We start from the raw sequence: 15,087 nt of genomic DNA, 5'->3' as shown, positions 1-15,087 counted from the left end.
CGCACCGGCTGCTGTGGCTGGGACTTCTGGGGAAGGAGCTCAGGGCTGCAGGTCCGTGTGTGAGTCACGGGCACACATCTCTGCACACACGCGTGAGTCACGTGCACCCTTCTCTGCACACACACGTGTCCACATGCACCCGTTTCTGCACACACGCATGGAGTCGCGCACCCGTCTCTGCACACACGCATGGAGTGACGCGCACCCGTCTCTGCACACACGTGTGTCCACACGCACCCCTCTGCACACATGCGTGGAGTCACGCGCACCCGTCTCCTCACACACGCGTGTCCACACACACCTGTCTGCACACGAGTGTCCACACATTCCCGTCTCTGCACACGCATGTCCACGCGCTCCCGTCTCTGCACACACACGTGTCCACACGCACCCCTCTCTGCACACACACATGTCCACACGCTCCTATCTCTGTACACACGCGTGGTCATGCACACCCGTCTCTGCATACATGTGTGGAGTCACGCGCACCCGTCTCTGCACACACGCGAGTCACGCACACCCGTCTCTGCACACACACGTGTTCACATGCACCCGTCTCTGCAAACACGTGTGGAGTCACGCACACCCGTCTCTGCACATGCGTGGAGCCATGCGCACCCGTCTCTGCACACACGCGTGTCCACACGCACCCGTCTCTGCACACACATGCGTGGAATCACGCGCACCCGTCTCTGCACACACGCGTGGAGTCATGCGCACCCATCTCTGCACACACACGTGTCCACACGCACCCGTCTCTGCACATGCGTGTCCACACACATCCATCTCTGCACACACGCGTGTCCACATGCACCCGTCTCTGCACACATGCATGGAGTCACGCGCACCCGTCTCTGCACACACAAGTGTCCACACACCCGTCTCTGCACACGCACGTCCACACGCACACGTCTCTACACACGCACGTGTCCACACGCACCCGTCTCTGCACACCCGCGTGTCCACACGCACCCGTCTCTGCACACACGCATGGAGTCACGCGCACCCGTCTCTGCACAAAGTGTCCACACACACCCGTCTCTGCACATGCGTGTCCACACACACCCGTCTCTGCACACACGCGTGTCCACACACATCCGTCTCTGCACACACGCGTGGAGTCATGCGCACCCATCTGCACACACACGTGTTCACACGCACCCGTCTCTGCACATGCGTGTCCACACACACCCGTCTCTGCACACACGCGTGTCCACACGCACCCGTCTCTGCACACACGCATGGAGTCAAGTGCACCCGTCTCTGCACACACGTGTCCACACACACCCGTCTCTGCACACGCACATCCACACGCACACGTCTCTGCACACGCACGTGTCCACACGCACCCATCTCTGCACATGCGTGTCCACACACACCCGTCTCTGCACACACGTGTCCACACGCACCCGTCTCTGCACACACGCATGGAGTCACACGCACCCGTCTCTGCACACACAAGTGTCCACACACAGCCGTCTCTGTACACGCACGTCCACACGCACACGTCTCTGCACACACACGTCCACACGCACCCGCCTCTGCACACGCACGTGTCCACACGCATCCGTCTCTGCACACACACGTGTCCACACGCACCCGTCTCTGCACACACACGTGTCCACACGCACCCGTCTCTGCACACACATGTCCATACGCACCCGTCTCTGCACACACACGTGTCCACACACTCCTGCTCATGTGCTGCACCTACTGGCTTTGGGCACCAACGTCAACGCTTCGTCATTGTGGCGGGAGGCCCTCAGGACAGAGAAGTGCCCCCTCCCAGAGGACTCAGTCACCCTGGGGTCAGAGCCCAGGCACAGGTCTCCCTCAGCCCCTGAAGCTGGGCACTGCGGCCTGACGCACTCCTCCCAGGGAGGTCGGGAAACCTCAGGCCTGGACCATACCTCAGACCTCCCGCCTCCAGGACATGGAACGCAGAGCCACGGTCAGCTGGTCGGCTGCAGCGTTGGGTGCGGGTGCAGGCCCAGGCTCCTTCCCCACGGCCAAACCAGGGGGTGCCAATTCTGGCCTGCCCTGTGCTCCTCTGCACTGTGTGGGTGACTCATGGGTCATGGGTGGCTCCAGATTTCTGGGCATAAATTGGGTCCCAGCAGAAAGTACCCCAGAGGACCAGGCAGGCTGGGGGCCAGCTCTGCCGCTCACTTCCAGACCCTGCCACCCGTCCCCAGCCAGGGAGTCCCTTCTCTGTCCTCTGGTCTGCCCCGCCCCAGGCCTTGACCTCCTCCCTGTGGAGATGCAGGGGCAGTGGGGGATACAGGGACGCCCTGCTCTCAGGGCAGCTCTCAGGGAGGCAGTGCTGGGGAGGGGTAGGTGAGACCGCCCCTCCCACCGGGCCCACAGCACCACCCTGGTCTGAGGCACCGCCTCCAGGAAGCCCTCTCTGAGCTCTGAGCGCCTGCGGTCTCCTGTGTGCTGCTCTCTGTGGGGTCCTGTAGACCCAGAGAGGCTCAGCTGCACTCGCCCGGCTGGGAGAGCTGGGTGTGGGGAACATGGCCGGGCCTCCGAGGCTCCTGCTGCTGCCCCTGCTTCTGGCGCTGGCTCGCGGCCTGCCTGGGGCCCTGGCTGCCCAAGGTAAGAGCTTCCCAGGCTCTCCATGGCCACAGCTCCAGAGCTCTCCCTGCCCCATGAGCTCAGAGCCCCCAGTCTGAGCCACAGCACAGCCCCCAGGAAGCGGGTGGGGTGCTGAGCGGCCTCCAGTGTCTGAGGACTCATTTAAGAGAAGGAAAAAGGGTGGACCCCGGTGGGGAGTGGCCGGGGCTGTCCAGGCAGGGCCGCTGCTTTGGGAGGAAGAAGCCCACAGTCTCGGAACACGAGGACAGCACCTCCCCCAACACCACAGCCGGTGCCCAGATCTGCTCCATGCCCCGTAAGGCACCGTGTCTTTGGCGACATGTCAGCCCTGGGCTGTCTCAGGGCCCCACCATCCCCACCACTGTCCCCTGCAGGGAGGACATTCTCTGTCCTTCTGGCCAGACTGATGGTGACAGCCCAGGTCCTCCCCAGAGGTGCAGCAGTCTCCCCACTGCACGACTGTCCCCGTGGGAGCCTCCGTCAACATCACCTGCTCCACCAGCGGGGGCCTGCGTGGGATCTACCTGAGGCAGCTCGGGCCACAGCCCCAAGACATCATTTACTACGAGGACGGGGTGGTGCCCACTACGGACAGACGGTTCCGGGGCCGCATCGACTTCTCAGGGTCCCAGGACAACCTGACTATCACCATGCACCGCCTGCAGCTGTCGGACACTGGCACCTACACCTGCCAGGCCATCACGGAGGTCAATGTCTACGGCTCCGGCACCCTGGTCCTGGTGACAGGTAGGGAATGTGCCCATCCCAGACCCCCCTCCCAACCCCAGCTGCTGGCCAGGCTCTGCTCCCCCAGCCCTTGTCGTGGGACCCTCCCTCCTACATGTGCCTGAACTGTTCCAGCTCCCAGCCCACTGCCCCCAGCAGCCTCCTAGATAGCTGCCCCTCCTCCCCTCCACAGCCTTTCCCTGCCCCGAATCCCAAACCCCGGGGGCTCTAACAGGTTCTCCACCGGGAGAATCCCTTCCTTCTTTTTTCCTTCTCAGAGGAACAGTCCCAAGGATGGCACAGATGCTCGGACGCCCCACCAAGGGCCTCTGCCCTCCCTGCCCCACCGACAGGCTCCGCCCTCCCTGACCCGCAGACAGCCTCTGCCCTCCCTGACCCGCCAGCAGCCTCTGCCCTCCCTGCGGCCCTGGCGGTGATCTCCTTCCTCCTCGGGCTGGGCCTGGGGGTGGCGTGTGTGCTGGCGAGGACACAGGTCAGTGTGAGCCCCAGCTGCCACCTGCACCCCAAAGATTGTTCCCTCTCCTGAGAGCAGCGTGGGGGGCGCCAAAGCCCCAGAGGAAAACCCTGGTACCCGCCGCCTCCTCTGCAGGCTCTGGAACTCTCAGGGTGGAAGTGGCCTCGGCGGGGAGGGAGGGGGACCAGCACCAAAGCGACCTGAGGGGGAGGGAGCAGCCCAGGCGCTGGGCCCGCGTGTGCGCGTGTGCGCGTGTGCAGGTGTGAGTGTCTGAGGGGGGATCTCTGAGGTCTGTGCGTGCAGGTTGGAGTGTGCGGGCAGAGGAGGGAGCGCCCAGGCGCTGGGCCCGCGTGTGCACGTGTGCAGGTGTGAGCCTGTGTGTGGGGATCTCTGAGGACTGTGCGTGCATGTTGGAGTGTGCCGGCGTGCTGTGTGGCCGTGGGAAGGGGAGGGGGCCTCAGACAGACACAGAGTCTAGGCGTGGCCACTCCCCTCGGTCCCTGCTGTTTGTCTGGGGCTGGAGTGGGGGTCCCGCTTGGCTTGGGCTTGGTGGGGGGGTCCAAGCCACTTCCACTCTCCTTCTTCAGAGGCACCCCAGGGTCCGACCCAGCCCTGCCTGGGGAAGGCTCTGCTGGGAAGCCCTGGGGCTCAGGAGACCTGGGGGCCAGCCCAGAGGAGCCCCGTGGGGGTCTCGTGTTAAAATTAGAAAGCTGACCGGAGTGGGGTGGGGTCCAGGACACCACGCTGGCCACTGGTTGGAGACGGCGGTTCTGTCTTTCAGATAAAGAAACTGTGCTCGTGGCGGGATAAGAATTCGGCGGCATGTGTGGTGTACGAGGACATGTCGCACAGCCGCTGCAACACGCTGTCCTCCCCCAACCAGTACCAGTGACCCAGTGGGCCCCTGCACGTCCCGCCTGTGGTCCCCCCAGCACCTTCCCTGCCCCACCATGCCCCCCACCCTGCCACACCCCTCACCCTGCTGTCCTCCCACGGCTGCAGCAGAGTTTGAAGGGCCCAGCCGTGCCCAGCTCCAAGCAGACACACAGGCAGTGGCCAGGCCCCACGGTGCTTCTCAGTGGACAATGATGCCTCCTCCGGGAAGCCTTCCCTGCCCAGCCCACGCCGCCACCGGGAGGAAGCCTGACTGTCCTTTGGCTGCATCTCCCGACCATGGCCAAGGAGGGCTTTTCTGTGGGATGGGCCTGGGCACGCGGCCCTCTCCTGTCAGTGCCGGCCCACCCACCAGCAGGCCCCCAACCCCCAGGCAGCCCGGCAGAGGACGGGAGGAGACCAGTCCCCCACCCAGCCGTACCAGAAATAAAGGCTTCTGTGCTTCCTTTTCTGACTTCTGCATTTATTCCTCAGCCAGCAGGAGCCAGGGAGGGAGATGGCTGACACTTCGGACCCTCCCCAAGCCTCCGCCTGGGGCTCTGCAGCTGTGGCCTTGAAGGTGGGGAAGGGAGCACTTCCTCACCCCAGCCCTGAAAGGAGCCCTGGGGGCCTCCCACCCTTGAGAAGAAGCACATCCACCTGTCCAGGTGGAGGCCAGACCCAGGGGCCCTTCAGGAGCCTCAGGATGGCCCCCCATGCCCCCGACCCCCACTCCAGCGACACCGCCTCCCGAGGCCTCCGAGGCCGACCCCAGGGCACACCGGGACCAGCAAGCTGAGCACAAGGCTGCCTCACTCAGCAGCCTGAGCGCTTCCCCTCCCTGCCCCGTCTTACAAGGTGCCTCCTCCTCGTTCTCAGAGGCCCCGGGGGAGACCCAGCTGGACTCTCCAGACCTTCCCCAGCCAGCGCAGCTCCCATGCTGCACGTGGGGACAGGAGCCACCATTCGCCCATTCCCGGGGGAAACAGAGGCACTGGCCCTCAGCCACTGCCTGGGGAGCCGCTAGGGCGCCACACACTGCACTTCATTGCCTCCTGCGACACAGGTGGGGAGCAAAGGCGGGGCCTTATGTGCAGGCTCCTCACCCACCCCTCACACCTGCCCCTCACTCACCCCACACCCACACCTCAAGCCCTTCCTCCTGCCGCACTGGCGCGTTAACCCGGGGTCCTCCTTGTGCAGGACGCGCCCCACAGCCTCATCCAGCTGCCTCTGTGCAGGCTCTAGGCCACTGTCCTGGTGTCCAGGACTCACGTCCAGGAGCCGGCCTCTGGTCAGCACCCCTAGCTTCACATGGGCAGCCTGGGGCGGCCTCCAACCTTGAATGTGGTCTCTGTGACACCTGGAGTAGCTTCTGGGCCGAGGCCCAAGTCCTCTCCAGCCCATCCAGGCCCACCGTCAGGAGGAGAAATCAGAGTGCCCTCTCTCCCCAGGCTGCCGTCATCCCAGGCCGCCGTCATCCCAGGCCGGCAGGGTTGGGGGCTGCTAGCATCCCAGCCACGCTCAGCTGGTGGTCCACTTTGGCCACGGTGGTTTCCTCGGCCCTGCACACGGAGGACCCCCGTCAGTACGAGAGAGTGCCTGGCTGAGAAGACAGCTGCAGACCCAGAGGCTCCGGAGCCCCTGACCGCAGTCACCATCAAATCATCCATCGAGGTCACAGAGACAAAAAACTAATACAATCAACTGCACAGTGGGAACTATTAAACTCTATAAAAACACTACAAACAAAAATAAACAACAAACGTCTACAAATCAGGGTGAAATATTTGACAAGTAAATTACAAATCAAAGGTTAGTATGTTTAATTCATACACAGCCGTATCAATCCATGGGAAGAAAACACCAACTAAAAATACGCAAATTCCAAAAATGAGCGATAGACACAGGAACCATTCCCACTGCTGGGTGTCGACGCAACACCAGTTGAAATGAGGTAACCTTTCGCCAACTGGGTTTGCAAAGATGTAAATATCATTAAAATATAATGCGACCGGGTGAGGTGGCTCACACCTCTAATCCTAGCACTTTGGGAGGCCGAGGCGGGTGGATTGCCTGAGCTCAGGAGTTGGAGACCAGCCTGGGCAACATGGTGAAACCCCGTCTCTACTAAAATACAAAAAAAAAAAAAAATTAGCCGGCTGTGGTGGCGGGTGCCTGTAGTCCCAGCTACTCGGGAGGCTGAGGCAGGAGAAGTGCTTGAACCCAGGAGGCGGAGGTTGCAGTGAGCCGAGATCGCGCCACTACACACCAGCCTGGAGACAGAGTGAGACTCCGTCTCAAAACAAAAACAAAAACAAAAACAATAAAATATAATGCCCCTTTTACCTGGAAATTCCACTTCTATAAAAGTTTCTTTGGGAAATTATCTTTAGGCACAGAAACAAGTTTAGAGGTATAGTGATATTCATTGCAATGTAACTTTCAATTAAAAAATTAACAACTGAAGCCGGGTATCGTGGTGTGCACCTGTGGTCCAGCTACTTGGGAGGCCAAGGTGTGAGGATCACTTGAGCCCAGGAGTTTGAGGCTGCAGTGAGCTGTGACTGTGTCACTGCACTCCAGCCTGGGTGGCAGAGCAAGACCCCATCTTTATCTTTATCTTTTATATATATATATATATATATTTTTTTTTTTGAGGTGGAGTCACCAGGCTGGAGTGCAGTGGTGCGATCTCAGCTCGCTGCAACCTCCCACTCCCTGGTTCAAGCGATTATCCTGCCCCAGCCTCCTGGGTAGCTGGGACTACAGGCGCCCGCCACCACGCCCGGCTAATTTTTTGTATGTTTAGTAGAGACGGGGTTTCACCATGTTGACCAGGATGGTCTCGATCTCCTGACCTCGTGAGTATTTTTATTTTTTATGTTTTAATATTTATTTTAATTTTTAAATAGAGACAGGGTTTTGCCATGTTGCTCAGGCTGGTCTCAAACTCCTGGGCTCAAGCAATCTGCCCGCCTTGGCCTCCCAAAGTGCTGCTGGGATTACAGATGTGAGCCACCGTACCCAGCTGAGACCCTATCTTAAAAATATATATAACAACTAAGGAAGGATGTAAGTCTCCAAGCAGGATAATTTTGTTACAGTGATTATGGCACATGCAGCGTGTGTTAAAAGGGCACCATGGGCCGGGCGCGGTGGCTCACGCCTGTCATCCCAGCACTTTGGGAGGCTGAGGCGGGTGAACCACTTAAGGTCAGGAGTTCGAGACCAGCCTGGCATCATGGTGAAACCCCGTCTCCAGTAAAAATACAAACACTAGCCAGGCATGGTGGCGGGTGCCTGTAATCCCAGTTACTCAGGTGGCTGAGGCAGGAGAATTGCTTGAATCCGGGAGGCGGAGGTTGTAGTGAGCTGAGATCACGCCACTGCACTCCAACCTGGGCGACAAGGCGAGACTACATATCAAAATAATAATAATAATAATACTTAAAAAATAAAAGGGCACCATGGAAAAATCTGTGACTTCACCCTAGGACCTTCACACGACCCCGTGAAGCCACACAGACGGCTGCAGAATAGACGTATGAGGCACATTTGTTACAATATAGATGGTGGACGTGTTGCTTACAGGGATGCATTCTGAGAAACGCATCGCTAGGCAGTGTCATCATTGTGTGACTGTCACCGAGTGTGCTTGCGTGACCTAGACTTAGAGCCCAGGGCACACCCAGGCTTCCTGGTGGAGCTGCTGTCATCGTATGGGACCATCGTGGCATGTGCCGCCCGTCGTTGACCAAAACGTCTTTTTTTTTTTTTTTGTATTTTTAGTAGAGACGGGGTTTCACCGTGTTAGCTGGGATGGTCTCGATCTGCTGACCTTGTGATCCACCCGCCTCGGCCTCCCAAAGTGCTGGGACCCCAGGCGTGAGCCACTGCTCCCGGCTGACCAAAACATCTTTATGCTGAGCATGGCTACACCTGTATGTATGTTTATTTCTGCATGACTGAAATAATGGAATAGACTTACGAGGTGCTAACAACGGTTCTCTCTGGGTGATGAGCTGTGGGTTTAGTTCCTTCTTTCTCGTACTTTCTCAGGACTTGTATTTGACAATGGCGTGTTAGCCGGGGCAGGGAGTCGCCAGCCACGACGGGCTTGGCATTCCAGGACACGCTCCCCCAGTTCTCACGGGTTCCCAGGGCTGCAGTCAGCAGTGTCACACTGTCCCCAGGCCCTCATGGTGGCCTCTGCGGTGTCCACGGCCGCTGCTGCTCTCGCTGAACCTGATGCTCGGGCCCTCGGCACCAGGAGACCACCAAACTCTTCTGTAAACATGGATAAGTCACTAAGGTACCCGCATGTGGGGAGCCCCTGGGACCTGTTCACCAGCAGCTGCGTGCCCGCCCGGCTCATGCTGGTTCCCGTGCGTCCAGCACTGACGGGTGGGACCCAGACAGTGACCAGGGAAAAGCTAAGGGGACGCAGGGATAAGGGGCTGGGGCTCGAGGTTCCAAGAACCCAGGCGCTCCACACAGGGGACCTCCGCCAATACGAGAGACAGCCCGGTGGCCTTGGACAAGTCACTGCCCTTCTGGGCCTTCCTTTGCCATCTGTAAATGAGGGAGGTGGGTTTGTGCTCTCCTCAACGGCAGGACTGTGCTTTCCAGGCCGTGCTGGCCAACCTGCCCACACCCTGACCCTCAGCTCCCACCAGAGTGCTGTCTCCACGTCCCCTGTCCTCTTGTCCCTGATAAGCAGAGAGCACCACGAGCCCATCGGCAGAGCTCCTGTCATCTGAGGCATCCCCGGCAGCCTGACCCCACCCCAGGGACCAGAGGCCATGCAGGGACAGGCTGTGCTCCCCAAGGTCCTTCTCCTCTCCCTTAATCCTCTCCGTGCTCAGGGCTGTGCTCCCTGAGATCTTCCTCTCCCTTAATCCCCTTCATGCTTGGGGCCGTGCTCCGCAAGGTCCTCCTCCCCTCCTCATCTCCTCCATGCTCAGAACCGTGCTCCCCGAGGTCCTCCTCTTCCTTAATCCCCTTTGTGCTCAGGCCCGTGCTCCCCAAGATTCTCCTCCCCTCCTCCTGATTCCATCCAGCCTCCACCGCTCATCTCAATGCCCATAATCGTCTCTCCACTTCTCTGTCCACAGCCAGACTGAAAGGACCTGGAGGACAGGGAGGGTCCTTCATAGTGTGTCCCCACCCCCACCCAGGCTCAGGTGTAGAGGGCCCCTGACTGAGCATGCTGTGTCCTGGGCGTGTCGGGTCAATGTGCACACCGGTCGAATTCTCGTGACAAAGAGCATGCACTCTGCCTGAGTCCTGTTTCCCCCACCGTCTATTTCCAGGACTGAGCCTCTCCGGGCTTGGTTTTCTTATTCGTAAAATGGGGACAAGACAATACTTGTCAGAGCAAACGCTCCCCAACTGTACAGGCTTGGCTGGACACCACAGGACACAGAAAGTAAAGCCCTTGACCATGAGGGGAAACCTTTCAGACTTCGAGAAACAGAGTAAGCACCAGCCCAGGGCAGCCCCGTGCTTTGGGGAGTGGTGGAAACCCCCAGTGTGGAGCATTCACCCCTCACCCCAAAGCCCGAGGGTGGCCATTGAGCCCCTACTTCAAGCTCTTAAAGCTAAGCTCCTGGCCGGGCGCAGTGGCTCACGCCTGTAATCCCAGCACTTCGGGAGGCCAAGGCGGGCAGATCACGAGGCCAGGAGATCGAGACCATCCTGGCTGACATGGTGAAACCCTGTCTCTACTAAAAATACAAAAAATTAGCTGGGCGTGGTGGCTCATGCCTGTAATCCCAGCTACTCGGGAGGCTGAGGCAGGAGGACCACTTGAACCCGGGAGGTGGAGGTTGCAGTAAGCCGAGATTGTGCCACTGCACTCCAGCCTGGGTGACAGAGCAAGACTCCATCTCAAAGAAAAAAAAAAAACTAAGCTCCCAACACGAGGTGTTGGCCAAGGAACAGCGGCTGACAGGGAGGGGGTTGTCAAGGCGGGCAGAGGGCTCTGAGGGGCAGGGCCTGTGCCACCCAGGGGCTCGCCCCTCCCACTCCAGGCTTGGCCCAGCCCCAAAGCCTGGACCAGATCTGGGTGCCCTTGAGGCTCATGGCCTGAGAGCTGGCATCCTGAGGCGGGCGCTCTGTCCGGGAAGCAGACGGCCGCACGGGCCACACGCACCTGAGGGAGCCAGGGCAGAGCTGCACCCGTCACGGCCAGCAAAAGGCACACCCTCAAAGGACGGGAGCAGGAAGAAAAAGCCGTCAACACCCACGCGGCGCGGCACGCCAGGGACGAAAGACAGAATCCCTGACCCAGGGAAACCACGGATGGAATGAGCAACAGGAAAGCCGCGTTAGGGAGGCAAGATCCAGCTGAGGAAGCCCCCAGAAGGAAAGAATAGAGAGAGAAAAAAAGAAAAAGCTAAGAGACACAGATAACGGAAGAGAAAACATATCCAATAAATGAGAAAGAGAGGGAGAGAAAGAGAGGGAGAACGACGATAAATCTCCCAGAAGCAGAGAAGAGAGAGCGCTCATATCACAGCAGTGCATCGACGGCCACACAGGAGAGAGAAGGAAAACCTGCTGGACACATTCAAAGGACTAGAACGTCAAAACCAGACAGAGAATCCTCAAACTCAGATGATCTCAGAATTCTCAAAGACAACTCTGGGTTCAAGGAGACGATGGAAAAAATATGCTTCAGTGTGGAAAGAAAAGAAGTTTGTACCTGGAATGTCGCCTCTAACTAAATTATCATAAAATTTAAGTATATAATAAAGATATTCTCAGGCATATAAGGGTTTTTGTTTTGTTTTGTTTGAGACAGAGTCTCACTCTGTCACCCAGGCTGGAGTGCAGTGGTGCAATCTTGGCTCACTGCAACCTCCACCTCCTGGAGTCAAGTTTTTCTCCCGCCTCAGCCTCCTGGGTAGCTGGGATGACAGGCGTGTGCTACCGCGCCAGGCTAATTTTTGTATTTTTATTTTTAGTAGAGACAGGGTTTCACCATGTTGGCCAGGATAGCCTCAAACTCCTGACCTCAAGTGATCCGTCTGCCTCCCACAGTGCTGGGATTACAGGCGTGAGCCACCGCGCCTAGCTGCATATAAGGTCTTAAGACACATCCGAGAAGTTAACTTTGAAACCCCTCTTGGAGGCAGGATCCAAGTAAGAAGAAACCGAAACAAGAAGATCCTTACAAGAGAAATAAGAAGCAATCAGATAGTTTATTTTGTCCAAAAAAGAAAAAGCAATGACAAAAAAAAAAAGCGCAGAATCTACAATGTATGTTCAATCTACATAACAATCTAGAACTAAAATTCTAGATAATACCAATGTCATGGAGAGAGGGAGGCGGAGACTGACGGACGTGGCAACATGTGGAGACATTTCTCCTGTCAGAAACAAGATGTAGATGAAGATGAGGTTTAGAAATCAAGCTGGGTGGCCGGGCGCCATGGCTCACACCTGTAATCCCAGCGCTTTGGGAGGCCAAGGCAGGCAGATCACTTGAGGTCAGGAGTTTGAGACCAGCCTGACCAACATGGTGAAACCCCGTCTCTAAGAAAAAATACAAAAATTAGCCCAGCGTGGTGGCAGGTGCCTGTAATCCCAGCTACTCGAGAGGCTGAGGTGGGAGAATCACTTGAACCCAGGAGGTGGAGGTTACAGTGAACCAAGATCGTGCCATTGCACTCCAGCCTGGGCGACAGAGTGAGACCCTGTCTCTAAACAAATAAATAAATAAATAAATGTAAAGATTCAACAATATGTTGTCTACAGAAGATACCTATTTTTTTCTTTTCTTTCTTTCTTTTTTTTTTTTGGAGATGGAGTCTCGCTCTGTCACCCAGGCTGGAGTGCAGTGGCGCAATCTCAGCTCGCTGCAAGCTCCGCCTCCCGGGCTCACGCCATTCTCCTGCCTCAGCCTCCCGAGTAGCTGGGACTACAGGCGCCCGCCACCACGCCCGGCTAATTTTTTGTATTTTTAGTAGAGACGAGGTTTCACTGTGTTAGCCAGGATGGTCTCTATCTCCTGACCTCGTGATCCACCTGCCTCGGCCTCCCAAAGTGCTGGGATTACAGGCATGAGCCACCGCGCCCGGCTTCTTTTCTTTTCTTTTCTTTTCTTTCTTTCTTTCTCCTTTTTTTTTTGAGACAAGGTCCCACTCTGTCACCCAGGCTGATGTGCAGTGGCTCGATCACAGCTCTGTGCAGCCTCCACCTCTCAGGCTTACGCAATCCTCCTCCCTTAGCCTCTTGAGTAGCTGAGACTACAGGTGTGCACCACCACACCCAGTTAATTATTCTGAATTATTTGTAGAGACGGGTCTCACTGTGTTGCCCAGGCTGATCTCAAACTCCTGGCCTCAAGTGACCCTCCCATCTCAGCCTCCCAAAGTGCAATGATTACAAACATGAGCCACCACACCTGTAAACACACTTTAAACAAAAGGACACCAATAGGTTGGAAATAAAAGGATAGAAAACTTATGAGGCAGATAGGAACCAGAAGAAAACAAAAGTCATCAATCTTATGTTCTGACAAAATGGAACAATAGAATAAGATATAACCAGTATGAACACAGGTGAAACTAAAAATAAAGACAAAACATGCAAACCAGGAATGATATAGCCACAGAGAAAACCAGATACATCACCCATTTAAGCCCAAGCTTTTAATGTGCTCCTTCAGATCTAAGTCATGAATTAGTTAACATGGACCTCTACGCTTGTGAAACAGAAAACAGACACTAGCATCAGTGTACATGAAACCTTGTTTAAATGCTCATTTACTGTCATCAGGAACTAAGCAAGAAAATGAGAACGAGGCCGGGCGCGGTGGCTCACGCCTGTCATCTCAGCACTTTGGGAGGCCGGGGTGAGTGGATCACTTGAGCCCAGGAGCTCCAGACCAGCCTGGGCAACATGGCGAAACCCAGTCTCTACAAAAAATACAAAAATTAACTGGGCGTGGTGACGAGTGCCTGTAATCCCAGCTACTCGGGAGGCTGAGGCAGGGGGATATCTTGAGCCCAGGGTTTGAAGTTGCAGTGAGCCGAGATTGTGCCACTGCACTCCAGCCTGGGTGACAGAGCAAGGCCCTGTCTCAAAAAAAAAAAGAAGAAAAAGAGAATAAAAATTCTTAATTCCTCCACACCCAAAGATAACCATACTTGACCACACAGACAGGCAGGAAGCTGCCTCTGGGGGCTCACACACGGTGTGGTAACGGAAGCCCGCATGCAGGGCAGCGCAGAGGGTCGGGGGGAGCAGTCACTCAGCAGAGTGGATCACTTGTATTTTTGCTGCTTCGTCTTGCTGCCTGCTCTCTGGCCGCCTCTTCAGGTGGCCACAGTGTCGTGACATCATTTGTTTCCCTCCAGAGGCTCTGAGGGAGAACGGGCTCCAGGCCTCTCCCAGCTCCTGGGGCTGCCGGCGGCCCTGGCGTTCCCGGCTTGTGCCTGCGCCGCTCCAGTCTCTGCCTCCATCGTCACGTGGCCTTCTCCCAGGCCTGTGGTTTCTCTCTTCACATCAGGACACCAGCCGCGTGGGATTCAGGGCCATCCAGTAACCTCAACTGGATGACATCTGCCAAGACCCTGTCTCCAAATAAGGCCCTGTTCAGAGGTTCCAGGCGGACACGGATTTCAGGGGACACCATTCAATCCAGGGCAACATCCCTCTCTCAGACAGCTGGAAACAACATCCTCAGTCTCGGAGCAACTGCACAGCCATCAACATACCCCACTAAGCTAAGCCCAGCTAAACACCCCAGCTCAGTGTCCCTCAGCTGGGCCCCAGAACTGCTCCGGGCACCTGATGCCAGAGGAGACGGCAGTCTGGACCAACTGCTGTCAAAACAGCTTGAGCAAATTGTATACAACCCCAGCCGGGTGAGGACATTGCCAGGCCCCCTCCAGGGCCTTAAGAGGGCTGAGGTCTGTGGTCAGGTGCTTCAGGGTGAACAGGCCTCAGCGAGGTCCAGCCAGACAGGCTGCCTCGCGGAGCCGGTGGTGTGTGCGCAGCATCAAAGGCCCTGAAGGTGGGGTTGTTAGTTCTGTGTTGCAGGAGGGAGGGCGCCAGCACGGATCCCATGTCAGAGATCCCATCTGCCGCAGCTTCTCCAAGGGTCGACCGGGAACTCAGGGGCAGGACTGAGACCACCCCCGAGCCCCATGGCAGGAATTTCCAGCCCCCAGCCTTCCACATGTCCCGTTTTCCCTAGAGCCAGTGCTGGGCCTCCCCAGGCACGAGGATGCCCAGTTGAGTGGCAATGGGAGCTCCGGGCCTGAGTAACATCCTCAAAACCAAATGCCAGGTTAGGAGCAAAGCTGGAGCCAGGAGTAGGTTCTTGTTCCTCAGAATAAGTGACTTTTACACTCAGTCAACTTTTTCTTTTTCTTTTTCTTTTCTTTTTTTTTTTTTTTTGA

At 57.1% G+C, this 15,087-nt stretch overlaps 1 protein-coding gene across 1 annotated transcript, besides 1 other annotated feature; it reads left to right on the top strand.

The window, feature by feature from the left end:
- Positions 1 to 2,403: 2,403 nt before the first annotated feature.
- On the top strand, positions 2,404 to 5,139 carry CD7 (CD7 molecule). Its single transcript, NM_006137.7, has 4 exons — positions 2,404 to 2,598; positions 3,031 to 3,345; positions 3,603 to 3,817; positions 4,581 to 5,139. Exons 1-4 carry the CDS (start codon positions 2,517 to 2,519, stop codon positions 4,689 to 4,691), a joined length of 723 nt encoding a protein of 240 aa, NP_006128.1. The 5' UTR covers positions 2,404 to 2,516; the 3' UTR covers positions 4,692 to 5,139.
- Positions 5,206 to 5,793: an enhancer, noted in NCBI's record as "H3K4me1 hESC enhancer chr17:80272095-80272682 (GRCh37/hg19 assembly coordinates)". NCBI's record gives its function as "activates a minimal SCP1, AML or CMV promoter by ChIP-STARR-seq in naive H9 embryonic stem cells {active_cell/tissue: H9 hESC(naive)}" and the evidence as "EXISTENCE:reporter gene assay evidence [ECO:0000049][PMID:30033119]".

The sequence above is a fragment of the Homo sapiens genome, chromosome 17 (assembly GCF_000001405.40).
Source record: "Homo sapiens chromosome 17, GRCh38.p14 Primary Assembly".
Taxonomy (NCBI): domain Eukaryota; kingdom Metazoa; phylum Chordata; class Mammalia; order Primates; family Hominidae; genus Homo; species Homo sapiens.
The sequence above is the reverse complement of the archived record's forward strand: the minus strand, read 5'-3'. Positions and strand labels throughout refer to the sequence as shown.

Bases quoted from the DNA above. Each gene is read 5' to 3' on its own strand.
- CD7 (NM_006137.7), top strand. From the start codon at position 2,517: ATGGCCGGGCCTCCGAGGCTCCTGCTGCTGCCCCTGCTTCTGGCGCTG. The intron at 2,599-3,030 runs GTAAGAGCTTCC...GGTCCTCCCCAG, and splicing joins TGGGGCCCTGGCTGCCCAAG to AGGTGCAGCAGTCTCCCCAC. The intron at 3,818-4,580 runs GTCAGTGTGAGC...TCTGTCTTTCAG, and splicing joins GTGTGCTGGCGAGGACACAG to ATAAAGAAACTGTGCTCGTG.